This window comes from Homo sapiens, chromosome 17 (assembly GCF_000001405.40).
Source record: "Homo sapiens chromosome 17, GRCh38.p14 Primary Assembly".
NCBI lineage: Eukaryota > Metazoa > Chordata > Mammalia > Primates > Hominidae > Homo > Homo sapiens.
This window is the reverse complement of record NC_000017.11, coordinates 4,985,184-5,009,996: the sequence shown is the minus strand read 5'-3', so window position 1 is coordinate 5,009,996 and position 24,813 is coordinate 4,985,184. Positions and strand designations below refer to the sequence as shown.

Below are 24,813 nucleotides of genomic sequence, written 5' to 3'. Positions count from 1 at the left end.
TGAGATTGTGCCACTGCACTCCAGCCTGGGCGACAGAGTGTGACTCTTGTCTCAAAATAAATAAATAAAATAGATATGCAACTACAACTATTAGAGAGGCCGTGAATGTGAGTAAATGTGTATAGTTCTATATAACATATGCCTGTACATGTGTTATAACATCTCCTAGACAGCATCTCTAGGAGAACATTTTTTCTTTTTTTTTTTTTTGAGACAGAGTCTTGTCTGTCACCCAGGCTGGAGTGCAGTGGTGCGATCTCAGCTCACTGCAACCTCTGCCTCCCGGGTTCATGTCATTCTACTGCCTCAGCCTCCCTAGTAGCTGGGACTACAGGCGCCCGCCAGCACACGTGGCTAATTTTTTGTATTTGTAGTAGAGACGGGGTTTCACTGTGTTAGCCAGGATGGTCTCAATCTCCTGACCTCGTGATCCACCCGCCTTGGCCTCCCAAAGTGCTAGGATTACAGGTGTGAGCCACCAGGCCCGACCCAAGGAGAATATAGTAAGAACCCATAATGGGCCTGGCACGGTGGCTCACACCTGTAACCCCAGCACTTTGGGACTCCGAAGTGGGTGGATCACGAGGTCAGAAGTTCAAGACCACTCCGGCCAACATAGTGAACCCCATCTCTACTAAAAATACAAAATATTAGCCGGGTGTGATGGTGTGCGCCTGTAATCCCAGCTACTTGGGAGGCTGAGGCAGAAGAATCGTATGAACCCAGGAGGCGGAGGTTGCAGTCAGCCAAGATTGCACCGTTGCACTCCAGCCCGGGTGACAGTACAAGACCCCGTCTCAAAAAAAAAAAGAACTCATAATGAAGGCTGCCTCTGAGGGGAAACTTAAGGGTGGGAAGGATGGAGAGTTACTTTTTTTTTTTTTCTATAACAAAATGCTGTAAATTGGAGACTTTTCACTGTACACACCTTTTAGAACTATTAGAATGTTCTCTCTGGTGTGTATTACCTTTATAAGAACAATTAAAACAAGAACCCCCTCCTTTGGTCCCCAGGCTTTGGCAGGTGGCATCTCTGCAAGCTCTCCAAGGAAGAAACCTCCACCCCACCAGTCTCCCCAGTCCTTTCTGCTTTTCCTCCATCCTTGCAACCGTGGTGGAAGCGGCCCAGCTCCAGGTATACAAAGGTGGCTGGAAGCCATGCTGAGCGCATCCGTAGCCCCTCTTTCCACCTAGGTGTGGCTGGGTCCCAGAAGAGTCTGGATCCCTCAGAAGGACCCCAAAGCCCCAGGGTACCCAGCCCCAGACAAGACCCCAGACACGCAGCCTGGCCTACCGCCCACAGCTCTTTCACTCCCTCAATGTGGCTTGGGCCAGGCAAGGCAAAACCCCTCTCCTCTTTTCAGAACAGGGGTTCAGTGATCCCTGCTTGCTTAGTCCCCCAGATGGACCTGACTTTACAAAACAGAGAGGAGCCTTCTTCTGGTAACCCATCACCTCTTCCAGGCAGCCCCCAGTGACACTGTCTGGCTCAGAGCACAGTGTATCTGACTTAGGGCCTGATCCTCTGCTGCTTCACACCATGGTCCAGACGGGCTGGGCTGGTTCCCTGGTGGAACTGGAAGTTCATGCTCTGCTCAAACTGGCCTCTGCACCATCCCTTCACTGGTATACTGGCCTCTGCACCATCCCTTCACTGGTATGCACCGGTACAGCGGTGCTGGCTGTCTATATCCAGTGTCCTTTCTGACTGGTCAGTCCCTATGCCGGATGGTTATTAATATTTGGAGTATCATTCCTGCCTCCACCTGAGCCTGACCTCTCCCGCCCTGCTCCTTCCTTCCTTTCAGCAAAGATTTATTAGGTACCTAAAACCTGGCGGCAGGCACGTGTCAGGCACTGGCGTGTCCCACTCACCCCAACATGTACCCCAGGCTCTTCAACCTCATGTTGGCCCTACTCCTCCATACTTCCCAAGTCCTGTCCATCTTTCAGGTTCCACTTTCCAAACCACCTTCTCCAGGAAACCAGTTGCAGCATAGCTCCAAGCTACACGGGTGCCTCCATCTATAACCAACCCCTCGCTGCACTGGCAACCACTGTCTTACAATGTAGTGCTCATGCCTCCTCTATTCCCTTTAGTCTTGTCTTCCCAAGTTATCCTTCTGAAAAATAGATTTCTTTAGTTATCTTTTTGAGCATGCACAGAATACAAAACTCAAATGATACAAAAGCATGCTCTATTGCAACCAACCTCCGATTTCCCAGGTCCTCTCCCTCTCCTGAGGCTGACTGTTGAATGGCTGAAGGGAGAAGGCAGGGATGACTAAACAAGACGGAGAGGAGGTGGCAGGGGAGGGGACAGAAATGATGGAGGGACAAGCCGGGGACCTCAAAGGGAGCGATCAGGGACAGCACTCACTACCCTGCACCTGCTGCCTCTTTTCTAGGCATCCAGAGAGCTCTCTAGGCCTCCTCGCTCGATTCCTCACTCACCTTCTTTGGAGAGAAGACGCCCACAGTTCCCCCATCCTCCCGGACGGCCACCCCCATCTCAGCCAGCAATGCTTCTCTGTGGGCAGAGGAGAGGCAAATGTCAGTCTTACCTTCACTGCCCGTGACCTCCTTCCCTGTGGGGCCTGACCTCCCCCATGGCCTCCAACTCCACCCAGGACCCCAACTGTCGGCCCTCACACCTCTCCATCCTCAGGGCTTCTGTCTTGCGTAGCTTCTCCTCCCATGTCTCGTTCAGCTCAGCTATAATCTTCTCTGTCTCCTGGGGGCGTAAGGTGGGTAGGTTTCAGGATGGTCTGGGACAAGCAGACCCAGGGTAGGGACAACCTACCCTGGGGCCATGCTACTCCTAGAATTCCTTCTTTCTCAAGCTTGACTTTGGAGAAGTAAACTCCCAGGAATGCCCAGACCCCCAGCCCTTGCCAGCTCCAGCTTCCCACCTGCAGCCTCTCCATGGCTTCCTCAGGCCCAATCTGGGACTCCGTGTTGGGGGAGAATGACGGCTCCAGCTCCCCATTATGTGTGGTGGGTGATGAGGGTGAAACTGGAGCTGGGGGAGATGACACAGCTGGCAGGGCGCCTCTGACACTCCCTTCTTCCGTCTTCAGGCCTGGGAGGGAGAAAGAGGAAAAAGAATGAGGCTAAGGAAAGAAGGAGCTGATGAGAGACATCCAGGAGACCAAGAGCTTCACAGAGGACCAGTCTGTAAGGACTACAGAAGACTGCTGGTCAGCCTCCTACCAGGCAAGGAGCCCTCCTACTGCAGCCATGGTAAATGGGCACCCAGTCTCTCTACTTGAACTCCAGGGGTGGAGAGCTCATTACTGAAGGAGGCGGCCAGTCCTTTCCACTATTAGATGATTTGCACCATCAGAAAATTCTTAGGTGGGGCTAGGTGTGGTGACTCACACCTGTAATCCCAGCACTTTGGGAGGCCCAGGCGGGTGGATCACCTGAGGTCAGGAGTTCGAGACCAGCCTGGCCAACATGGTGAAACCCCGTCTCTACTAAAATACAAAAATTAGCCTGGTGTGGTGGCAGGCACCTGTAATCCTAGCTACTTGGGAGGCTGAGGCAGGAGAATCACTTGAACCCAGGAGGTAGAGGTTGCAGTGAGCCGAGACCACGCCATTGCACTCCAGCCTGGGTGACAGAGCGTGACTGTCTCAAAAAGAGAAAATTCTTAGCTGGGCCGGACACAGTGGCTCATACCTATAATCCCAGCACTTTGGGAGGCCAAGGTGGGAGCATCACCTTAGGTCAGGAGTTCAAGACCAGCCTGGCCAGTCTAGAAACCTCTGTGTCGAACTTTTTTTTCTGAGACGGAGTCTTGCTCTGTCGCTAGGCTGGAGTGCAATGGCTCCATCTTGGCTCACCGCAACCTCCACCTCCTGGGTTCAAGTGATTCTCCTGCCTCAGTCTCCCGAGTAGCTGGGATTACAGGTGCGTGCCACCACACCTAGCTAATTTTTGTATTTTTAGTAGAGACGGGGTTTCACCATGTTGGTCAGGCTGGTCTCGAACTCCTGAACTCAGGTGACCTGCCTGCCTTGGCCTCCCCAAATGCTGGGATTACAGGCGTGAGCCACTGTGCCAGGCTAAAACCCCCGTCTCTACTAAAAATACAAAAATTAGCCAGGTGTGGTGGTGGGCGCCTGTAATCCCAGTTATTCGGGAGGCTGAGGCAGGAGAATCTCTTGAACCCAGAAGGCGGAGGTTGCAGTGAGCCAAGATGGAGCCACTGCACTCCAGCCTAGCGACAGAGCAAGACTCCATCTCAAAAAAAAAAAAAAAGAATTCTTAGCTGTGCTGAGCTGAAACTGGTCCCACGTCATGTGTGCTAGTGTTTCTAGTTCTGCCCTCTGGGATAAAAAGTCCTTACTGCTTTCTCTTCTGCAAGAAAATCCCTCAAATGTTGGAAGGCAAACATCACTAGCTACCTTATCCTTCTCTTTCCAAGAACACTCATACTCCCCACACTGTGCCCTTCAGCACCCTAACTATCCTCAATGGGATGATCTCAAGACTGAATGCAGGGTCCATTCCTGACCGTCAACATGGATTACACATCCTCTGATTTGGACACTATTTCCATCAGTGAGGCTGAGCATGACATACCAGAAAGCACTCCACTGAGATCTGTTAGGCTATGGTCCACTTCAACTCTGACGTTTTGCAAGAACTTCTGTCAAGAAAGTCACCCAGTAGCCTAGCCTCTTAACAATTTACTGTTTGACCTGTAAGCATATATTGCCATTTTTTCCTGTAACAGTCATTTCATTACTTCCAGGAGCCTGACAGGTCCTTCTGGATCCTCATCCTCTCCTAGAGAATTAGTCCCTCCCAGCTCTGTAACATCTGAAGACATACGTTCCCTCTCCACATCTGTGTCCACGTCACTGAGCACATGAAAGGTTTCATAGTGTGTGGTCCCTCCCTGGCTCCAGGACTGGGCAAAGGCAAGTGAGGAGGGATGGGGTGGGCCAAGGGGCATCCCTGAGCTGCCCCTCCCTGGAACCTCGACCTTCCAGAGCAGAGGCTGACAGTCCCTGAGCCATCAGCAGTTCCCGCAGCCGGGCTACTTCCTCCTGCAGCTCTCTAATCAGCCGGGCATTAGGGTCCTCGTTGATGATGGCATTGCAGCGGATTTGCTTGGTGCGGTCAGCATACCTGGGTGACAGAGGAGCAGGGTCGGTGAGGCCTGGGGGCAGGGGACCCTTGGTCTGCTGTTTCTCCTTCCCCCTCTCCCAGGTCTCAAGATATTGTGGCAAGGCTCCGGCATCTCCCCCGTCTCACGAGCAGGGTCCTGAGCAACTCGCCTCTGAACTCCTGGCACTCTTCCTATGCTGCCCCATCCCTGCTAGAGCCAAAAGCCTCACCTGAGGGTGCTGAGAGTCTCCTCGTAATTGATGTCAGCAGGGCTCAGGGCTGCAATCATGGCTGTGCGTGAGTTCCCCCCTGTGAATGGAGTGCATGGAAAAGCTTCAGCTGAGGGAGGGGCTAAGCAAAGTCAGACCGGGTCACAGGGCTGGGGCCCACTGCCCAGGCAGAGGTCTTACAGGGTCATGGTCTGAGGTAGGGGAGTCTAGCGGGGTGGAGCTAACCATGACATCTGGTTATGGGAGGGGATGAGGTCAGGGAGATATATCTGCAGGACAGTCACAGAACCATGGAAGGGGGATGAAGTCAGCAGTGCAGCAGTGGGTGTGAGATCAGGGATCAGGGAGGGGTCATGAGTAGCCAGGTCAGTGAGGCCCTTGGCTTGACGGGAGGGTATGGCCTTGTTCTCAGCATCAGGAAATCTTCAAAGGATGTTCCCTTTGAAGGGTCAGGGGGAGAAGTAAGACAACGGGATTTGGGATTCTCGGCATAGCAAGGGGATTTGTCAGATGTATCAAAAGAGTTTGTGGGATGTGTCAGGGTCGGCAGAGAAAGAGGAAGAGGCCCTCACCCAAATTTTCCTTGAGCAGCCAGGTGAGCACAGAGTCCCTGTAGGGGATAAAATCCGACTTTCGCTTCTTTGATTGCTGGGGGATAAAAGGAGGAAGGAGGTTAGGGTGGGTCACTCCCCTTTCCCAAGCCCCTTCTTTCCAACACCCAGGTCTCACCATATCTGCAAGGGCCGAGATCACTTTCCCTAGTGTAGTCAGGGACTTATTGATGTTGGCTCCTTCCTGGAAAAGGATGAGGAATGTGGGGATGAGACCCTCTTCTCCCAATGTGATCCACTTCCGCTTCCTACCTCCCCAGTGAGAGTCTCAGGTTCCGACTGGAGACCTCCACATACAGCCCACAACACTGCCCCACAACAAACCACCCTCTGAAGGCCCCTCACCTTCAGGCGCATGCCCCGGGCCCCTGAGGAGTCGGCTCGCTCACTCCCAGCAAGGTCCACCAAACTGATCTTACTGACCTGGGGTCAGAGGAAACAGGCAGGAGATAAGGTGCGGGTGGGGGACGGGGCAGGGAAATCAGGGAAGCACCCAGCAGGAATGTGGGCAGCTGGCAAGGGCTAGAGAGAGCCAGGAGGAGGCGAGGGAGGAGGCCGGGGGAAACAGAATACGTGACAACAGTGAGACGGTGGTTACTCACTCAATTACAAATAGCTACAGGCCCACCGCAGGCATGGACAAGGGACACACAGGGGATCCAAGCCCTGTCCTGGGTCTCGTAAGAACAGCCGGGTGTGGTGGCTCACATCTGTAATCCCAGCACTTTGGGAGGCTGAGGCGGCTGGATCACCTGAGGTCAGGAGTTCAAGACCAGCCTGGCCAACATGGCGAAACCTCGTCTCTACTAAAAATACAAAAAAATTAGCTGGGCCTGGTGGCGCATGCCTGTAATCCCAGGTACTCGGGAGGCTGAGGCAGGAGAATCACTTGAACCCGGGAGGTGGAGGTTACAGTGAGCTGACATCGCACCACTGCACCACTGTACTCCAACCTGGGTAACAGAGCAAGACTCTGTCTTAAAAAAAAAAAAAAAAGACAAGCAAACAGTAGAGGGGGACAGACTGATCTGACGGAAAAACAGGGTAGGGGTGGGGCGCGGTCATGGTAGTCCTGAGGAGGCACTCAACCCAGCATGGGCAGGGAGGGCCCAAGACCCTTCTACCATGTCACTGTCCCTGTTGCCAGGGGAGGTTGCATCCGGTGGGGGAGTGGGGGGGGGGGCGATCCCACCTTCTCCGAGTCCAGCCCCGTGAGCTGGTCATGGCAGCGCTGTGTGAAGACGATGGTAAAGACGGCATGGGAACGGCTGCTGGTCTCATTCATGTTGGTGGCAGCCACAGTCCTTAGGGTAAAGAAAGCAGTCACTGGATCCTGCCTCTCACCTTCCCAACCCTGGCCCCCTTGCCCTCTGCTCCATCAGCCTGCCTCACCGTGCTTTATTTCCACAGTCCATGAGGTCAGCAATGTCTGCGTAGGAGGTCACAGCCAATTTGGACAGGTCCTGCACGTACGGGCCCAGGATGGGGTGCTCCCGGACCCGCAGAGAACCCCGACTCTTGGGGTTCAAGAGGTCTCGTACCCGCTCACAGTAGATCTCCATATAGCTCACCTGAGTGGGAGAAGCAAATGAGAAGTAACAAAACTAGCAAAAACAATGACAACGCAACTTAATCTGACTCCACTGGACACGATCCAGGTGACTGCAGCTAATACACAGTGCGAAGCATTCTGCAGATGCTAGCTCAGCGACCTGCCCAACAAGCCAGGAGGTGTGTCCGATCAACAGCGTCTCCCAGATGAACATACGAAGCTGAAGGACAGAATCACTGCCCCAAAGTCACAGTCAGTAACCAGCAGAGCCAGGATTAGATCCCAGGCTGTCTGATTCCAGCGACAGCCCTCAGCAGTCTGGACCCCTCTCAGCCCTGCCACCAAGACCCGGGCTTACCTCCACAGAGTAGGATAGCTGAGCACTCTGGTTCTCACTAACGCGAGAGAAGAGGTCCTCACAGAGCTGGAGGGGGACACAGGGAAATACAGAGAAGCTCCTGTTCAGGGCACACCTAAAGTGTCCAGCCACAGGCCAGGCCCAGTCCCAAGTGACCCCATTTAACCCTTGCTACAGCCTTGAGGGAGGGGTTATTCCCATTTCACAGATGGGAAAACAACCTCAGAGAGGTCCCCACTTGCCCAAGATCACAGGCTACCGTTCAGCCAGCCAGGGTGCAAACCCCAGGAGTTCTGACTCCCAAGCCCGTGTGCCAGGTTGCTATGCTGGACAGCCAGGGACAATTATGGTTAACTCCGTTATCCCAATTGGCGTTTCTACAGTTAACACTCTGCTGGTGGTACACAAGCCTGCAGGAGAACTATACTCACAAATTATTATGAAACCAAGTAAAACAGTAGTAAGTCGTAAAACTGGCGCTCGAACCCAAGGCTCACTGATGCCAAAGCCCTGCTCTACTCACTGAGGCTCGTTGCCTCTGATAGGGGCGAAGACCCTCCCACCCCAGAGGGTTGTCCAGCTTGCAGTCAACCTCTATCTCCCATCACCAATGGCCTCAGAGCCAGGTCTCTGTTCCATAATCCTCCGACCCTAGTCCTTCCTTCCTCAGAGGGCAGCTAAAGATGCTCCTGCCCTGGCTGCCCCACCAGGTCCTAGGCGTACCTGGGGCACGATGCCCTGCTGCCCTGGCTCCTGTCGCCCCATCATGGTATAGGATTTCCCAGCCCCGGTCTGCCCATAGGCAAAGATGCACACGTTGTAGCCTTCAAAGGCGTGGAGCAGCATCTCTTCTCCAATGTCCCGATACACTTGCTGCTGAGATGCAAACTGGGGGTCCTCCGTCTAGGAGAAAGTGGGGGCAGAGAAAAACAGAGTAACCCTGGATGTCTTTATCCTTTGTGTCTCTGTCCCAAGAGTCTTGCTTCCATCACTGACGATTCCCCAAATGTCCTGTGTGCCCTCCCACCCTCATCATTGTCCTTACCACCCCAAGGATCCTATCCAGCCCCTGCTAGTCCTAATTACCCCAAGGGATTCCGCCTTCCTGTCGAGGCCTCAATCACAGCCTAAGGGTCCTACCACCCCCACCCAGGATCATCCTCCCAATTCACCCTGACTAATCCCCTGGGGGTCCTATTTCTTAACATGTCCCCTCCCCAGGACCTAAATCCTCTGTCTCTCACTGCCTTGCTCTTCCCCCAGCCCAACAACCCACCGAAGTGTGTGACCAGTAGGAGTAGTCAAAGGTGAAGCTTTTGGGGGCATCCTTGCTCTGTTTAGGATTGATGATGGCTGAGGGGCAGGAGAGGGTAAAGGAAGGAAAGTCAAGGTCAGGTATTCCCAGTCCCTGCCCATACCCCAACCAGCCCCTGGAATCCAAGCATCCCACTCCTCACCACTGTCCTGACTCTTCTCTCCCCTTTAACATTCCCCACCCCCTCCAGCCACCAAAGCTAATTTTGGCTTCCTAGGACCCGCCCCCACTGAGCTGCCTCCCTGGATTGGGCAATGGAGGGCTCCAGGCCAACATTCCCCCTCCCAGGGACTGGGAACACGGGAAAGGCCAGCCTGCCCCAGCCCCCGCCCTTACGACTAGCACCTGCTCTGTGCCCAGCATTACCCTCCTCTTAGTTTGGCCCAGCGGGACTGGCCTGTGTGGTGGGCCCGGCCTTCCCTGCCTGTGCCCAGCCAGGCCCCGGGGACTCACTCACAGGTGGTGTTGCCCTGCATGCTGACCACACACTTGGCATCCTGGCTGGTCTCACGGGCGTTAAAGGGCCGAACCCTCACTGCCACTTTCACCGAGGCACCAGCCATAGCTCCAGACACTCCTGCCCTCCTCAGCTGGAGGACAGAGAAAGGAGTGGTGGGGTCAGAACCACTGCAGGGACCCAGACATTGCCTCCCAGCTTCTTCCCGGAACCAGTCTCTTCACATCTCCCCCAGAGCCACCCAGCCTCTCAAGGACCCAGCTCTTATTCCCTTGGCTTTCCTCCCAAATGTCACTGTCTTGAGAGACTCCCAAAGGTATTTCTGCCTCTCTCCCCAGCCATATTCCAGCTTGCAGGAACCTGGGCGGTCTCCCCCAGTTACCTGGCGTCCTGGCCCCAGACCAGGGGGGCTGTATCAGTTCTGGCTGCCACCGGCCCTCGTAGGGGGAGCCCCATCCTACTCCTGGGGCCTGGCCACACCAGCTGGGGCTCTGGGAGATACCCTGATTGCGGGGGAAGAGTTGTTAGAAGGCACCTGTGGTTCCAGAGACCCGTCTGGGGTTCCCAGGTTGGAGGGCCAAGGTTACGGGGGGAATAGCAGGAAAAGTACGGACAGCTGCCCCTCTAGAGTGGCTGAATGCAATGTGAATCCAAGGGCAGGGACGGTGATATTTTTATTCCTTGTCACTCGCAAATGTACTGAACGTTCAGATAGAGGACAGAGAGAGAAAGAGGCTGGACAGAGGGCAATTCAGAGAGAGGGGCACATGGGCAGAGACGTGAGGGGGGTGGGAAGAGAGAGAGGAGGGGCAGAGAGTCACAGACACCAAGAAAATTAGAGAAATAAGACAAAAGGCAAGCCTGAGGTCATGCTATGAAGGAAAGAATGGGAGAGGAAAGGAGGAAGAGACACAGCACAGCAAACACACGGTGTTAAAGAGACAGGGTGGGGAACTCCGGCGCCAAAGCACAAACTGGGAGCCCAGAAGAGAGACCAGAGAGGAAACTGCAAATGCAAAACCTGTCCTCAAATTCCCCCACAGTGTCGGCAAGGGAGAATCTAGTTTCCACCTGAGGCCCACAACCTCCATGCACCAGGCCAGTAGTGCAGATGGGCAAAGTCCAAGGACTGTAGGTAGGGCCCAGGACTGGGATCCACAGGGCCAGCTGTGTGGGCTCTAAGCCCCTTGCCCAGCCCCCAGCACTTCCTCCTCAGGATCCGGGACAATGAGCAGGGGAGGGTGGGGTCATCCTGTAGCCATCAGACCAACCCTCAGGGCTCCACCCTTGGGGCGCCCAGAAATACCTGTGTTTGAGGGTAGAGGGTCCCTGGGGCCTCCCTAAAAGGGAGAAAGAAAAGGAAGCCGGCTGGCTGGTGCCAGCCCCAACCTGGGGCTAGTGCTATGGCGTCCACTGCCCTGGGGAAGGTGCCAGGCTGGAGCCCAGGAATGTGGGTGATCGGGTGCCCACACCCTGGGAGGAGAGGCTGAGCAGCCCACGCCCACGGACAACAGGGAGGAGGACCACGAAGGATAAGGGATGCGGAGCCCCCTCCTGTGGCCCCAGTGGACCCCAAACTCCTGTCACGCTGGGCCTCCCCTCACCAGTCTTCCTGGGCAGAGCATGGGAGGGTGAGGGGCTGGTCTGTCCCAGGACAGGAAGGGAGTAGCTGGAATCACAGAAGCTGGCTCAGGAAGAACAGCCCTGACCCCCTAGACCCTGACCAGGGGAGGGAAGGACACTGGTGGGGACAAGCGATGGTGACGCCGTTGCTGCAGCTAATGGGACAGGGATGGGGTGGCACGGCTGGGGGCCAGCGGGGTAAGGGAATAGAGGTAGGGACAGGGGTCGGCCGGTGCAGCTGTGAAGGAGCCGTGGGGTACAAGGAGGATACTGGGCGGCTGGGGTGGGGCCGACCGGCCCGAAAGGGGGTCTTGGGCCACCTGCACCTTGCCCACCCGGCGGTTCTCACACAGGTCCCCGCCCGGCCTCTCAGGGCGGCCATGCGGACCCGTCCTCCTGTCCAGCCAGCCGGCGGCCGCCCGGGCCTGGCACCTCTCTGCGCCTCCGCGGAACAAACAGCACATGATCCCGACTCTTGAGCCTAGATCGCGCCGCCGGACCCCGGCTCCCCGCCCCCCAACCCGGCACATTCCTCCGCGGGCGTCCCTTCCCTCCCCCTTCCCCAGCCCTCACCTCGGCGCGGCGGGGCTCCCGGAGCAGCTCGGCGGAGAGGGACAAGCTTTCCGGGAAGCGTGAGGCGGAAGCGGGAAGGATCTGGGGCCGGTTCGGAGCTGCCCCCGCCCCTCGCCGGGTGCCCGGGCGGCGGGCGGCGGACTCGCGCCCCGGGGGCGGCAGCAGTAGCGGCGCCAGCGGCCGGCGCCCGCCCGGGCAGCGCGAGCTGGGGCGGGAGCGAGGGGCGGGGGACGCGCGAGCGCGCGCGGAGGGGCGGGTACGCGCGGTCCCGGGAAGGAGCCGGGAGCGACCCGGGCTACTCTTGTTAAAGGGGCAACGCTCCTGGCCTGTGGGGCCCAGCGAGCGGGAACGTGGGGACCGAGCTGCGGACGCAGAAGGGCGAGCAGACGCCGCAACCCAGGAGGGTTGCAGACGCCTGAAGAACAGGGAAACGTCGGGGGCTGACCCGCGGGGGCACCCAGGCCCCGGCCCAGTTCCCGTCGCCGCCGTTGGAGGCGCGTCCAGGGGGCGGAGCCTCCTGCCGAGGCCCGCCCAGAAGGTGGCTCCGCTCAGGCCCCGCCCTCAGACGAGCACCGCCCGCCGGCTCCTCCCGCGGCTCGAATCGCCGTCTCTCTCCTCCCCGCCCCGCCGAGTTCTAGAATTCGCCGCGCAGCTGCTTCAGGTGCTGGGGCCAAATGCGGCCGGCCGTGGCGCGGCTACTCGGGCGCTCTGTCCCCGCCTGGCCCTCAAGTTCGGCCGCCCTGGACGCCGCCTGAGGCCCAAACAACCCCTTCAGGCCCGGGTGCCGCCTAAGGCCGGAGCTGCCCTCTCAGACCCGGGGCGTCCCTCAGGCCCCAGCCTGCCCTTCAGCCTGGGCCCACCACCTCAGGGCCCCTCTCGAGGGAAGCAGCCCCCAGTCGTGCCCTCGGGCGGGGCTGCCCGGAAGGTCCGGCCACGCCCGGTCCACCTGTCGAGGGTCCCCGTCGCCCTTTCAGGCGCAGGCCGCGCCCTCCGGCCCGGCGCTTCCCTCCAGCGGGGCTCCAGGCAGCCCCTCAGCCCCAGCCGGACCCTCGGGTCCTCATCCACCCTCGCAGGCGCAGGCCGTGGCTACCCCGAAGTCAACTGTGGAGGATCCTTCCTGGCTTCCTTCAGCTCCATCCTGCCCTTGGATCTAGGTCACCCGCTTGGACCCAACTATCTGAGGCCCGAATGCCCCGCAGCTCCCGCTGCTCCCTCGCGTTCTGCTGACCCCCCTCCGAGTCAGGACATCCCCTTTAGACCCCACTTTAGGCCCTTTCAGCCCAACTCCAACTAGCCCCATCTGCCGCTTCCGCACGGTATACTTCTCTCCGCTTTTGACCTCACCTGCTTTCCCAGCCCATCCCTAGTTCCCTTGGATAAATACTAGTTCACCTCTACAGTTCCAGCTGGCTGCTTCTGTCCTTCGGGAGCCTATGTGCACTCTCTCCTAACTTATCTAGTATTCTTTTTTTTTTTTTTTTTTTTTTTTTGAGACGGAGTCTTGCTCTGTTGCCCAGGCTGACCTCGGCTCACGGCAACCTCCGCCTCCTGGGTTCAAGCGATTCTCCTGCCTCAGCCTCCCGAATAGCTGGGATTACAGATGCCTGCCACCACACCCGGCTAATTTTTGTATTTTTAGTAGAGACTGGGTTTCGCTGTGTTGGCCAGGCTGGTCTCGAACTCCTGACCTCAAGTGATCCGCCCACCTCAGCCTCCCAAAGTGCTGGGATTACAGTCTTGAGCCACCGCGCCTGGCTTTTTTTTTTTTCTTCTTAGAAACAGGGTCTCACTCTGACGCCTAGGCTGGAGTGCAGTGCAGTGGTGCGATCTTACCTCACTGCAGCCTTGACCTCCCGGGCTCAGATGACACTCCCACCTCAGCCTTCCGGGTACAAGCGCACACCACCACACCTGGCTAAACTTTTTCGTATTTTGGTAAAGAGGGGGTTTCGCCATGTTGCCCAGGCTGGTCTCAAACTCCTGGGCTCGAGCAATCCACCCACTTCCGCCTCCCAAATTGCTGGGATTACAGGCGTGAGCCAGTGTGCCCAGCCTTAACTGCCCTTTCTCCCCACCCCAACTGGCCTTCAGGTCATCTTTGGCTGTCCCTATATGCAACTGACCTCCCTATCCACAGGCATTCCCAACTGCCCCCTCCTTCCCTGTCACCAGTTGACCATTATGTCCACACTTAACTTTTTTTAATTTCTTTTTTTATTTTGTTAGAGACAGAGTTTCACTCTTGTTGCACAGACTGGAGTGCAATGGCGCGATCTCAACTCACCGCAACCTCTGCCTCCCTGGTTCAAGCAATTCTCCTGCCTCAGCCTCCTGAGTAGCTGGGATTACAGGCATGTGCCACCATGCCCGGCTAATTTTTGTATTTTTTAGTAGAGACAGGGTTTCTCCATGTTGGTCAGACTGGTCTCGAACTCCCGACCTCAGGTGATCCACCCGCCTCAGCCTCCCAAAGTGCTGGGATTACAGGCGTGAGCCACCACACCCAGCCAACTTTTTTTTTTTAAATAGAGATGACGTCTCTCTGTATTGCCCAGGCTGGTCTCCAACTCCTGAGCTCAGGCAATTCTCTTGCCCCAGCCCCGCAAAGTGCTGGGATTACAGGTGTGAGCCACTGCACCCGGCCCACACAATTAACTTTCACTAACCACTCATAGTTGATTCATTGAGAACCCTCAATTCTGTCACTTCTCTTACCCCCAAATGCCTCCACCCCACCCAGTCTCCACTGTCATCATTTTTCAATTTCATTGTCCCATATTGCCAGTTGTCGCTTAACTGCCATCTGTAAATTTCACTTATTCTGCACATTTAGCTTCAGAAGATTTGCTTTCTCCTTTATCTTTTTACCACATCCACTTTTCCTGTGCTCACTATCTTCAACCTAAATGTTCAATTAACAGTCCAGCACTACAAATACCTTTTTTTTTTTTTTGAGACAGAGTCTTGCTCTGTTGCCAGTCTGGAGTGCAGTGGTGCAATTTCAGCTCACTGCAACTTCCTACTCCCTGGTTCAAGTGATTCTTCTGCCTCAGCCTCCGGAGTAGCTGGGATTACAGGCATGCGCCACCATGCCCAGCTAATTTTGTATTTTTAGTAGAGACGGGGTTTCTCCATGTTGGTCAGACTGGTCTCGAACTCCCAACCTCAGGTGATCTGCCTGCCTCGGCCTCCCAAAGGGCTGGGATTACAGGCATAAGCCACTGCGCCCAGCCGCTACAAATACCTTTTAAGCTCTCTCTTTTTTCAGCATCCATACATTCTTTTTCCATTCTCTAGATCTGCTACTGGCCTCATCCCTACAGACATTATATGAATGAATGCCTTTTTTTTTTTTTTTTTTTTTTTTGAGACAGAGTCTTGCTCTGTCCCCCAGGCTGGAGTGCAGTGGCGCGATCTCGGCTCACTGCAACCTCCGCCTCCCAGGTTCAAGCGATTCTTCTGCCTCAGCTTTCTGGGTAGCTGGGACTATAGGCGCGCGCCACCACACCCGACTAATGTTTGTATTTTTAGCAGAGATGGGGTTTCACTATATTGGCCAGGCTGGTCTTGAACTCCTGACCTCATGATCCGCCCGCCTTGGCCTCCAAAAGTACTGGGATTACAGGCGTGAGCCACCACATCCAGCCCGAATGAATGACTTCTTTTCCATTATCCTCCCAGCACCAAAAAGGAGACTAACTACCCAGCCCCGTCCAGTCATGCAGGTGCAGGATGATGGAGTCAACCTCATCCCCTTTGCCAAGTGAGTCCTCCCACTGGGTGGGGAGCATGGGGATGGGATGGAGGGGATATTGCATGCCTGGGTCCTTCCCTAAGAGGATTAGGAAATAAAGAACGGGAAATGCAATGCCTGGTCTCAGGGGATTGATGATTCATTAATTTATTCAACAAATAGTTTGAACACTACAATGTTCCAGGGACTGTATTAGGCACTGGGGATTCAGCAACTAGCAGGATAGGGGTCCTGCTCTTGTAGAGCTTACATTCTAGAGAGGGGAACACAGAATGTGCAAACAAATACAATTTCAGCTAATGATGGGTACTATTTAAAACATAAAACAGTGGGCCAGGTGTGGTGGCTCACTCCTGTAATCCCAGCACTTTGGGAGGCCGAGGCAGGCGGATCACCTGAGATCAGGAGTTCGAGACCAGCCTGGCCAACATGACAAAACCCCATCTCTACTAGAAATACAAAAATTAGCCAGGCATGGTGGTGCTCGCCTGTAATCCCAGCTACTTGGGAGGCTGAGGCATGAGAATTGCTTGAACCCAGGAGGCAGGGGTTGCAGTGAGCCAAGATTGTGCCACTGCACTCCAGCCTGGGCGACAGAACAAGACTCCATCTCAAAAAAAAAAAAAAAAAAAAAAGGCCAGGCACGGTGGCTCACACCTGTAATCCCAGCACTTTGGGAGGCCGAGGTGGGTGGATCACGAGGTCAGGAGATCAAGACCATCCTGGCTAACAAAGTGAAACTCGTGTCTACTAAAAATACAAAAAAATTAGCCGGGTGTGGTGGCGGGCGCCTGTAGTCCCAGCTACTCGGGAGGCTGAGGCAGGAGAATGGCGTGAACCCAGGAGGCGGACCTTGCAATGAGCCGAGATCACACCACTGCACTCCAGCCTGAGTGACAAAGCGAGACTCCGTCTCAAAAAAAAAGGCCGGGCCCAATGGCTCATGCCATAATCTCAGCACTTTGGAAGGCTGAGGTGGGCAGATCACCTGAGGTTGGGAGTTTGAGACCAGCCTGACCAACATGGAGAAACCCCATCTCTACTAAAAATACAAAATTAGCCAAGTGTGGTGGCGCATGCCTGTAATCCCAGCTACTCGGGAGGCTGAGGCAGGAGAATCGCTTGAACCCAGGAGGCAGAGGTTGTGGTGAGCTGAGACCGAGCCATTGCACTCCAGCCCGGGCAACAAGAGTGAAACTCCGTCTCAAAAAACAAAAAAACAAGGTCAGGCGTGGTGGCTCACACCTGTAATCCGAGCACTTTGGGAGGCCAAGGCGGGCGGATTACCTTAGGTCAGGGGTTCAAGACCAGCCTGGCCAACATGGTGAAACCTCGTCTCTACTAAAAATACAAAAATTAGCCGAGTGTGGTGGCGGGTGCCTATAATCCCTGCTACTCAGGAGGCTGAGGCAGGAGAATCACTTGAACATGGGAGGCAGAGGGTGCAGTGAGCCGAGACTGTGCCATTGCACTCCAGCCTGGGCGACAAGAGTGAAACACCATCTCAAAAAACAAAAACAAAACACTATGCTAAGTGTGGTGGCTCATGCTTATAACCCCAGGACTTTGGGAGGCCAAGGTGGGAGGATTGCTTGAGCCCAAGAGTTTGAGTCTGCAGTGAGCTATGATTACAGCACTGCACTCCAGCCTGGGCAACAAAGCAAGTCCCTGTCTCTAAAAAGAAAGAAGGGAGGGAGGGAGGGAAAGAAGGAGAGAAAGAAAGAGAATGGAAGAAAGAAAAGGAAAAGAGGGGAGGGGAGGGGAAGGGAGGAGAGGGGAGGAGAGGAAGAAGAAAGAAAAAATAAATAAAACAAGTATAGGCCGGGTGCGGTGGCTCACACCTGTAATTACAGCACTTTGGGAGGCCAAGGTGGGAGGATTGCTTGAGCTCAGGAATTGGAGACCAACCTGGGCAACATAGTGAGACCTCATCTCTGATAAACATTTAAAAGAATTAGCCAGGCATGGTGGCACACGCCTGTAGTCCCAGCACTCAGGAGGCTGAGGCAGGAGGATTGCTTGAGCCCAGGAATTTGAGGCTGCAGTGAGCTATAATTGGGTCACTGCACTCCAGCCTGGGTGACAGAGTGAGACTGTCTCAAAAAAGAAGAAGAAAAAAAACGGTTTGGATTTTATTCAGTGGAAAAGTTTTAAGGCAGAGAGTGACATGACCAGCCTTTTTTCCTTCAACTTTTTTTATTATGGAAAATTTCAAACAAACACAGTAGAGAAAATAGTATCATGAACCCCATGTACCCTTTTCAGTCAGCTTCAATAATTATCATTGTATGGATAATCTTTTCATCTCTATACCCATCTAGCCCCCTATTTCTCAAATTCTTTTGAAGTACATCTCAAACCTTATATTATTTCGTATGATCATCTCTCACAGTTCTGTGCAGAATATATTGTTGGGGGATGGGAATGGAAGCAGAGACGGGGGGAAGAGACCATTGCAACAGTCCAGGAAGGGGAAGATGACCTGAAATATATGGTGGTAGGAGTGGGAATGATGAGGAGTGGTCAAATTCAGGTACACAGTATTTTAGATGTAAAACTGACAGGAACTGCTGATGGATTAGATGTGGGAGGTGAGGGAAAGTGAGACATACCATGTTTTTGGTCTTAGCAACTGGGCATTTGAGTGCTTTTCATTGAGAGGAGGAAGGTTGGGGAGGAGATGTTGAGTGGAGCCCAGAGAGGAACCAGGGCTGGATATATAGATTTGGGAGTCATCAGCTTATTGACAGCATGGTACTGGGTGAGATCACCTAAGAAGAGATGAAGACAGAGAAGATAAAGGGCCCCAGGCCTAAGCCCTAACATACTCCATTTCTTAGAGATCAGGAGGGCAATCATCATTCAGCCTGTGGGGTTTGGAAGTGACGAGCAGTGTTCTCAAACAGCTCTGCACACTCCTATTTACAAGGATATTAGTCCTTTTGAGATGGGGAGACAAATGAAGTAAACAGAGGTTCTCTCCCCTGGATCCTTGCATTGACCTAAATGAATCCTATCTGTCATATAACCTGAGTAGCCAAGGCCTTCCTCTTTAACAACTCTGCTTGCTAAATATTACCTTCTCTAACTATGAGGTATAAAGCAAGCTTGTCCAACCTGCGGCCTAGGATGGCTTTGAAGCAGTCCAACACAAATTCATAAACTTTCTTAAAACGTTGAGATTAGGCCGGGCACAATGGCTCACACCTGTAATCCCAGCACTTTGGGAGGCCGAGGCGGGTGGATCACCTGAGGTCAGGAGTTCAAGACCAGCCTGGCTAACATGGCAAAACCCCGTCTCTACTAAAAATACAAAATTGGCCGGGCGTGGTAGTGGGTGCCTGTAATCCCAGCTACTCGGGAGGCTGAGGCAGGAGAATCACTTGAACCCGGGAGGTGGAGGTTGCAGTGAGCCGAGATCGTGCCATTGCACTCCAGCCTGGGTGACAAGAGTGAAACGGTCTCAATAAATACATAAATAAAATAAAATATTATGAGATTTTTTGCAATTTTTTTTTTGAGACGGAGTTTCTCTCTTGTCACCCAAGCTGGAGTGCAATGGCGCGATTTCGACTCACTGCAACCTCCTCCTCCCGGGTTCAAGTGATTCTCCTGCCTCAGCCTCCCGAGTAGCTGGGATTACAGGTGCCCGCCACCACGCCTGGCTAATTTTTTGTGATTTTAGTAGAGACGGGGTTTCAACATGTTGGCCAGGCTGGTCTTGGACTCCAGACCTCAGGTGATCCACCCACATCAGCCTCCCAAAGTGCTGGGATTACAGGCATGAGCCACCACGCCCGGCCAGTGTTAGTGTACTTTATGTGTGGCCCAAGACAATTTTTCTTCTTCCAATGTGGCCCAGGAAGCCAAAAGATTGGACATCCCCGATATAGAGCTTAAACTCAGTGAGATCTGAGGGTCAAACTATAGCCAATCTCCACCCTCAACCCAGCTTCAATTTCCTTTCAAAGCAGAGGCCTTACCACCTTCTTCAGCTAAAGTGGTTAAGAGAGGACATGGCCCGAGGGAACCTGGGCAGCTTTATAGTCCCATGGAAAGATGGCCCCTGAATCCTTGGGATGAGTAGACTGCTGTAAGGGAAGAGCCAGACCCGAGCCTACCTTGTCCTCACCTCAGGTGTTCCAGGGTGGTCAGCCGATCTCCACCCCCAAGGTTGCCTTCCCAGAGCCTCAGACCCATGCCCCAGCGTTATGGAGATGTCTTCTGGAAGAACCTTAATCAAAGGCCCACGTGAGTAGAGGAGAAAATGGAAACTAACTGGATGTGGTCTTAACTGGATTAAACTACCATAAACCCATATAGCAATAGGCCCTAGTCTGCGGTTAATTTCCCACTGGCTGGTGGACATTGTAGCTCCTAATGACAGAAAGGAGGTCGGGAGAGATTATTAAAGAAGCAATATGGATGGACATGTCCCCTCTGCACTTATAGCCCCCTTTTTGTTCTTCACAGCCCCACTTGGCTGGAGGAGCAGCACATTCCACCCATGCTGGTAAGACAGACCCTCTGCCGTTTAACATTTCTCTGTTAAAATTGCACCCACTGCTGTCCTGTCCCAAGCTCTCCTTATTACCGCTTCCCTCTGTTATTCCCCAACCAGTGCACTGACCAGGCCTTCCTTTCTATGAATCAGTCATCATGTTTTCGAGATCACAGGGGTCTTCCCAAGACCCCAGACTCCCTACCTAGTTCAATCCAAGCTCCCTTGAGAGAGCCAGTTCTTCTTTCTAGCTCTTTTTCCCCATTCTCTGGCACAGAGAGCCACTGGTTGCTCCCAGCTTGGTCTGTATCCTCCTGAGCAGCTCCCACCCCCTGAAATGCTTTGGAGAAGAAAGAAGAGGAGGCCATGTTTGGAAGGAATGCAGCAGCAGGGCCTTGGGGGAGTCCCCGCCCGGGTGAGGGCTGTCACTTACCACCTGGAGGACCTAAGAAGGCGTCAGAGCATCATCAACGAGTAAGGAAGGGAGACATCTGGGTTCTGGGAGTCATGCAGGATTTGGGGGCAGAACAGTTTGAGCTAAGGAAGGGGTTGACAGCTTTGAGGGGAGGTTTGAGGGGAGCTTTGAGGGGAGGTTGCTTGGAAGGAAGCTGTGGGCTTTGGTGTGATTGAAACAGATTTCTGTAATATGGAAAGAAGGAGGGAACTGCAGTAAGGAGGATGAGCCACATGAGCTGGAAGGAGTGGAAACTAGATCACTGAAGACAGGAAAGCAAACCATAGAACTGGAGGACAGTGGGGAGGTTGGGGTCACCTCTGGGTTCCTAGACAATATGCTTCAGTCTGAGGGGAGCAGAAAATTGGGAGTGGAGGGTTAAAGGTCAAATGACAACTCCCTGGAGTCCCAGCAGGAAGTATTTCAGAACAGAAAGGTGAAGAATGGAGAGACAGGAAGCCTGGCCTCCAGGCACTTCTCTCCTCAGCCTAAAGTCTCCACAGACTGAAGAAGGCCCAGTGGGGCAGCTCTGGGGCTGCATCTGAGCCAGTGGTGCTTGGCGAAGAGGGCTGTGGATTCCCCAGCACCAATGAATACCCTGATCTGGAAGAGGAGAGAGCAACCTATCCACAGGAAGAGGACCGTTTTCTCACTCCTGGCAGGGCCCAGGTATTGTTGGAGTGGAACTGGGTGGAGTGAGGGAGTGATGTGGGTCTCTGGTCTTGCATGGAGATGCAGAAGCTGAGAGCCAGGCTGGAGAGCTGGATTTGAGAGAAACAAAAATAACGTAGGTGAGAACCAGAGACTTCGAGGTACCTAAGCTTGGGTACTAGGAAATCTGGAAAGAAGACCTACTTTTCCATTTTCTTTTTCAATTTCTCTCATCTTGACAGCTGCTTTGGTCTCCCTGGAGCCCCCTGGATCAGGAGGAGGCTTGTGCCTCCAGGCAGCTGCACTCTCTGGCCTCGTTCAGCACTGTCACAGCCAGAAGGAACCCCCTTCACAATCCCTGGGGGATGGAGTTGGCAGCGTCTGAAGAGTAAGGAGAAACCACCGATGCCGAGAGGCTAGTGGTGCCCCAGGGACCCAAGACTAGTTCCGTCACTAGAGTCACCCTCATTGCTGACATGAAGGCGTTTCCCCTTCCTTCGTCTCTCCAACTGCCTTTCCCATCCTCTGAACTAGGCATTAACAGCCCCCGTGGGCTCCCATCTCAACCCACCGCTCTCACAGGAGCACCCCAAGTCCTGTTTTCCTCCAGGCCCCGCTCCTGGCCTTGTATTCTCTCTGCTCTGTTATTAAAAAGCAAGCAAGTGGAGCCCGAGTTGTCTTTCTTCTTGGGATGCAGCGATGGAGAGGCCAATGGGGAAGGAGGGCTCCTTTCGCTTTCTCGAGGACCCAGCTACAATGAAGTCGGGCTGGGTCCCCAGACAAGGAGTCTTGTCCGAGGCGAGAAGGGTCCTGCTCCCAGTCCAGCGTTCCTCGCCCGGCCCCTCGGGTTCCAGCACTGGTGGGCTGCCCCCGCCCCGTTCTCTCGAACTGGGAGTCAGTCGGCCGAGCTTCCGCCTCCAGGACCCTGGAATCCTGCCCCTCAGTGCTGCTGCCCTTTTGGGGACTTCCCAGCAGTCTGTCCCTCGGCCTGGCTCAGAGCCCTAGAAGCCGAGTCCCTCTGCCCAGCGCCCCACCCAGAACTCCACGTGTGCTGACCCCAGGTTCCCTTCCTGACCCTCATCCCCTTAATTGGGAGGCCCCGCCCCGTGCGCAGTGACGTTAGACGCCGCTGTCAGCCGGCGCTGGGGGGGGTCGGTGTGGGGTAGAATGGCCGCTGCCGCCGTCACCCGCGGGACCCCGGGAGGTAAGAGCCAGGGCCTCTCGCCCGCCTCTCCGCCCCCGCGCCAGAGGGCGCAGCTCCTCCAGGTCCCGACGCGGAGCGCCGCGCCAGGGACCACCGTCCCTCTTCCCGGTTCGCCCTCACCTCCCGCTTCCGTCCTCCTCCCCCGCGCCAGGGGGCGCCGCTCACCGCAGGGCCCCACGGCGGACCAGCGCGTGCCGGGGACTGTCCCGGAGACCCCCGCACCCGGCACCTGCACTGTCCCTCGCCCACCGCGTGCCCGCGGACTCTGCTCCCGGCTTCTCCAGAACATCCCTCTATGCGGGCGGGACCCTCCCACCTCGGAGGTTCTCCTGGGACCACCACTCCGCCGGGGGGCCGCCCAGAGTGCCAAGCGTCCGATCCGGCGCCGCCCAAGTGCAGCCCAAGGACCCGCTCCCGCTCCGCACCCTGGCAGGCTGCCTAGCCAGGACTGCGCACCTGCGCCCTGGGGCGGAGTCCTTACCCCAACCCCAGCTTCACTGCACATAGCCGAGCCCGACGGGCCTCCTCCCATCTCCATCCTGGACACCTGGCGGAGCCCGTGCTGAGAGCCTCCGCCAGCTCCCATCTGTTCCCCGAGGAGGGCGGGGGGCTCAGGCTGGAGCCAGAGCGGTAGATGGGGTAGGCTAGGCCTGGAGGCCAGGGGAGGCAGAGGCGTTTGGGGAGAGGGAGCTACGTAGAGAGGGCTGTCAGCCGGAGGGTGGGTTGTCCTGAGGGTGGGAATCTGGGTGTCTGGCCCAGATTCTATCAGGTCCTAACCAACCTGGAGGAGAGAATAGGTTAGGTTCAGTTATCAGATCTGCCCTTCCCCTTGGAAAAATCAAACAGAGAAGGAACTCAGGGCGTGTCTTCTAAAGGCCTAGCTTCTACCGGAGGTAGAATCTCCTGCCCTGCCCCCAGGATCCAGGCTCTCTTGCCAAACCATCCTCCAAGGACCGGATGGCCTGAGTCCCAACCCCCAGGACCTGACCCAACCATAGCCCCAGTCTGTGCAAAAGCTCAAGGTTTAGGGCCTCTGAGGCCCAAGCCCTGCCAGTCTTCTCCCCGCTCCCCCACCCCAACCCATTTCTTCCTGCTCACTCTTCCTGTCCAGTCTGCTCACTCATATTGGCTCCGGGCACTGTGTGTTGTTCTCTCTTCTACTGTCACATCACAGTCAGCCCCTCCCTCCCTTTCCTCATCCTTCCCAGATACTATGACCCAGTTCTATACCCACTCCCTACCTCATACTTCTCATCCTGGATTAATGTGGGGGCTTCTGCCATGACCTTGTTCTCTCCCTTCCCAGCACAGACTCCCCCTCCCCCCGGCCCCTCAGGCCGGGGGTGACCTTGCCCCCTGGAGCCCTCACCATGAATACCAAGGACACCACCGAGGTTGCTGGTAAGTTCACAAACCAGGTTCCCAATGTGGCCACAGCCTTTCGTTCTCCCCACGCTTTAGTGGCCCTCTAATTCTTGGATTTTCTGTTCTCCTTAGTGAGGTTTCAGTTTTCCCCAGTGCTCTGTATTGCCTTCAGCCCTTTCCCCTTGGACTATCACAGGGATGCCCCAGGGTAGCACACTAAACCCTCCCTTCTAATTCCCTTTAGAAAACAGCCACCACCTGAAGATCTTTCTCCCCAAGAAGCTGCTGGAGTGTCTTCCTCGCTGCCCGCTGCTGCCTCCAGAGAGGCTACGGTGGAATACAAATGAGGTTTTCTAGGGAGGCTGGGGGTTGGGGCCCAGCAAGACCTAGTAGGCTGGAGGAGGGTGAGTGGGGGGTCTTTCCGTGTCTGTCAACACTCCTAAGTGCAGAGCACCATTCTAAGCTCTTTGGGGATCCTAGGAGAGGTATAAAAACATGGATCTTGGCCGGGCATGGTGGCTCATGCCTGTAATCCCAGCACTTTGGGAGGCTGAGGCGGGTGGATCATCTGAGGTCAGGAGTTCAAGACCAGCCTGGCAAACATGGTGGAACCCCGTCTCTACTAAAAATACAAAAAGCAGCCAGGCGTGGTGATGTACGCCTGTAATCCCAGCTACTCGAGAGGCTGAGGCGGGAGAATTACTTGAGCCAGGGAGGCGGAGGCTGCAGTGAGCTGAGATCACGCCACTGCACTCCAGCCTGGGTGACAGAGTGAGACTCCGTCTCAAAAACAAAAACAAAAAGACATGGATCTTGAAGGAGCCCTCTTTTCTGTGGCATAGCCACCTGGGTAAAAACAAAAGCTACTGCCAGTAAAGTATTCCTTACATACTGGGCACCGTGCTAAACATTTGGCCTGCCTTGTCTCATTTAATCCTCTAACGGTTCTATAGAGCAAGCCCTGTTATTGCTCCTATGTTATTGATGAGGAAACTGATTTACCTCATAGTTTATCTAACTTACTCCAGGGCCTTTTTTTTTGAG

The 24,813-nt window shown here is 55.0% G+C and overlaps 3 protein-coding genes and 1 long non-coding RNA gene across 23 annotated transcripts in view, besides 8 other annotated features; 2 read left to right on the top strand and 2 right to left on the bottom strand.

Annotated features, from left to right (window-relative positions):
- KIF1C (kinesin family member 1C) overlaps positions 1 to 12,047 on the bottom strand; it is a 30,452-nt gene extending 18,405 nt beyond the window's left edge. The window contains exons 1-17 of one of the 2 annotated variants that reach the window (XM_005256424.3): positions 11,841 to 12,047; positions 10,951 to 10,984; positions 10,027 to 10,147; positions 9,645 to 9,777; positions 9,149 to 9,225; positions 8,596 to 8,775; positions 7,873 to 7,938; positions 7,355 to 7,533; positions 7,155 to 7,266; positions 6,308 to 6,385; positions 6,081 to 6,146; positions 5,924 to 5,999; positions 5,352 to 5,430; positions 4,997 to 5,142; positions 2,913 to 3,082; positions 2,655 to 2,734; positions 2,455 to 2,530 (exon numbers count right to left, since the gene is read on the bottom strand). In XM_005256424.3, coding sequence (XP_005256481.1) covers positions 2,455 to 2,530; positions 2,655 to 2,734; positions 2,913 to 3,082; positions 4,997 to 5,142; positions 5,352 to 5,430; positions 5,924 to 5,999; positions 6,081 to 6,146; positions 6,308 to 6,385; positions 7,155 to 7,266; positions 7,355 to 7,533; positions 7,873 to 7,938; positions 8,596 to 8,775; positions 9,149 to 9,225; positions 9,645 to 9,750 — 1,491 coding nt within the window. In that variant the 5' untranslated portion in view covers positions 9,751 to 9,777; positions 10,027 to 10,147; positions 10,951 to 10,984; positions 11,841 to 12,047. The remainder of the gene's footprint in view (positions 1 to 2,454; positions 2,531 to 2,654; positions 2,735 to 2,912; positions 3,083 to 4,996; positions 5,143 to 5,351; positions 5,431 to 5,923; positions 6,000 to 6,080; positions 6,147 to 6,307; positions 6,386 to 7,154; positions 7,267 to 7,354; positions 7,534 to 7,872; positions 7,939 to 8,595; positions 8,776 to 9,148; positions 9,226 to 9,644; positions 9,778 to 10,026; positions 10,148 to 10,950; positions 10,985 to 11,840) is intronic. The other variant, NM_006612.6, reaches the window with a different exon arrangement.
- Positions 5,377 to 6,576: an enhancer, noted in NCBI's record as "CDK7 strongly-dependent group 2 enhancer chr17:4906716-4907915 (GRCh37/hg19 assembly coordinates)". NCBI's record gives its function as "activates an origin of replication core promoter dependent on BRD2, BRD4, P300/CBP, MED14 and CDK7 cofactors, with strong dependence on CDK7, by STARR-seq in HCT116 cells {active_cell/tissue: HCT116}" and the evidence as "EXISTENCE:reporter gene assay evidence [ECO:0000049][PMID:35650434]".
- Positions 5,716 to 5,916: a silencer, noted in NCBI's record as "peak2701 fragment used in MPRA reporter construct". NCBI's record gives its function as "represses an SCP1 promoter by STARR-seq MPRAs in K562 erythroleukemia cells {active_cell/tissue: K562}" and the evidence as "EXISTENCE:reporter gene assay evidence [ECO:0000049][PMID:32103011]".
- Positions 9,120 to 9,730: an enhancer, noted in NCBI's record as "H3K4me1 hESC enhancer chr17:4903562-4904172 (GRCh37/hg19 assembly coordinates)". NCBI's record gives its function as "activates a minimal SCP1, AML or CMV promoter by ChIP-STARR-seq in naive H9 embryonic stem cells {active_cell/tissue: H9 hESC(naive)}" and the evidence as "EXISTENCE:reporter gene assay evidence [ECO:0000049][PMID:30033119]".
- Positions 9,731 to 10,342: an enhancer, noted in NCBI's record as "H3K4me1 hESC enhancer chr17:4902950-4903561 (GRCh37/hg19 assembly coordinates)". NCBI's record gives its function as "activates a minimal SCP1, AML or CMV promoter by ChIP-STARR-seq in naive H9 embryonic stem cells {active_cell/tissue: H9 hESC(naive)}" and the evidence as "EXISTENCE:reporter gene assay evidence [ECO:0000049][PMID:30033119]".
- Positions 11,585 to 11,684: a silencer, noted in NCBI's record as "silent region_8062". NCBI's record gives its function as "represses an Ori minimal core promoter by ATAC-STARR-seq in GM12878 lymphoblastoid cells {active_cell/tissue: GM12878}" and the evidence as "EXISTENCE:reporter gene assay evidence [ECO:0000049][PMID:35858748]".
- Positions 11,735 to 12,604: a silencer, noted in NCBI's record as "silent region_8061". NCBI's record gives its function as "represses an Ori minimal core promoter by ATAC-STARR-seq in GM12878 lymphoblastoid cells {active_cell/tissue: GM12878}" and the evidence as "EXISTENCE:reporter gene assay evidence [ECO:0000049][PMID:35858748]".
- INCA1 (inhibitor of CDK, cyclin A1 interacting protein 1) lies at positions 12,475 to 21,867 on the top strand. 9 transcript variants are annotated; one of them, NM_001167986.2, is made up of 9 exons: positions 12,475 to 12,501; positions 12,868 to 13,156; positions 14,067 to 14,191; positions 15,522 to 15,603; positions 19,732 to 19,845; positions 20,068 to 20,107; positions 20,373 to 20,569; positions 21,053 to 21,218; positions 21,443 to 21,867. In NM_001167986.2, the coding sequence occupies exons 4-9, from the start codon at positions 15,560 to 15,562 to the stop codon at positions 21,590 to 21,592; spliced, it is 711 nt and encodes a 236-aa protein (NP_001161458.1). In that variant the 5' UTR covers positions 12,475 to 12,501; positions 12,868 to 13,156; positions 14,067 to 14,191; positions 15,522 to 15,559; the 3' UTR covers positions 21,593 to 21,867. The 9 variants fall into 9 exon arrangements, with proteins under 9 accessions (NP_001161458.1, NP_001381719.1, NP_001381717.1 ...); NM_001394790.1 differs by lacking the exon at positions 12,868 to 13,156 and having other exon boundaries at positions 20,418 to 20,569; NM_001394788.1 differs by lacking the exon at positions 12,868 to 13,156.
- Positions 12,645 to 12,734: a silencer, noted in NCBI's record as "silent region_8060". NCBI's record gives its function as "represses an Ori minimal core promoter by ATAC-STARR-seq in GM12878 lymphoblastoid cells {active_cell/tissue: GM12878}" and the evidence as "EXISTENCE:reporter gene assay evidence [ECO:0000049][PMID:35858748]".
- Positions 20,052 to 22,253, bottom strand: CAMTA2-AS1 (CAMTA2 antisense RNA 1). Its single transcript, NR_187235.1, has 3 exons — positions 21,772 to 22,253; positions 21,405 to 21,581; positions 20,052 to 21,310 (listed from the first exon to the last, which is right to left on the bottom strand). It is a non-coding gene; the product is annotated as a CAMTA2 antisense RNA 1 (long non-coding RNA).
- Positions 22,303 to 22,842: a silencer, noted in NCBI's record as "silent region_8059". NCBI's record gives its function as "represses an Ori minimal core promoter by ATAC-STARR-seq in GM12878 lymphoblastoid cells {active_cell/tissue: GM12878}" and the evidence as "EXISTENCE:reporter gene assay evidence [ECO:0000049][PMID:35858748]".
- CAMTA2 (calmodulin binding transcription activator 2) overlaps positions 22,322 to 24,813 on the top strand; it is a 19,679-nt gene continuing 17,187 nt past the window's right edge. For 8 of the 11 annotated variants that reach the window (XM_047435670.1, NM_001171168.2, XM_011523749.4 and 5 more), the window contains exons 1-3: positions 22,536 to 23,043; positions 23,711 to 23,805; positions 24,014 to 24,117. In XM_047435670.1, the coding sequence (XP_047291626.1) occupies positions 23,039 to 23,043; positions 23,711 to 23,805; positions 24,014 to 24,117 (204 nt within the window). In that variant the 5' untranslated portion in view covers positions 22,536 to 23,038. Of the gene's footprint in view, positions 22,405 to 22,535; positions 23,044 to 23,710; positions 23,806 to 24,013; positions 24,118 to 24,813 lie in introns of those variants that run through there. The other 3 variants (NM_015099.4, XM_006721478.5, NM_001171166.2) reach the window with 2 other exon arrangements.

Bases quoted from the DNA above. Each gene is read 5' to 3' on its own strand.
- INCA1 (NM_001394789.1), top strand. From the start codon at position 15,560: ATGCAGGTGCAGGATGATGGAGTCAACCTCATCCCCTTTGCCAA. The intron at 20,108-20,372 runs GTAAGACAGACC...TCTCTGGCACAG, and splicing joins AGCACATTCCACCCATGCTG to AGAGCCACTGGTTGCTCCCA. The intron at 21,219-21,442 runs GTATTGTTGGAG...TCATCTTGACAG, and splicing joins TCACTCCTGGCAGGGCCCAG to CTGCTTTGGTCTCCCTGGAG.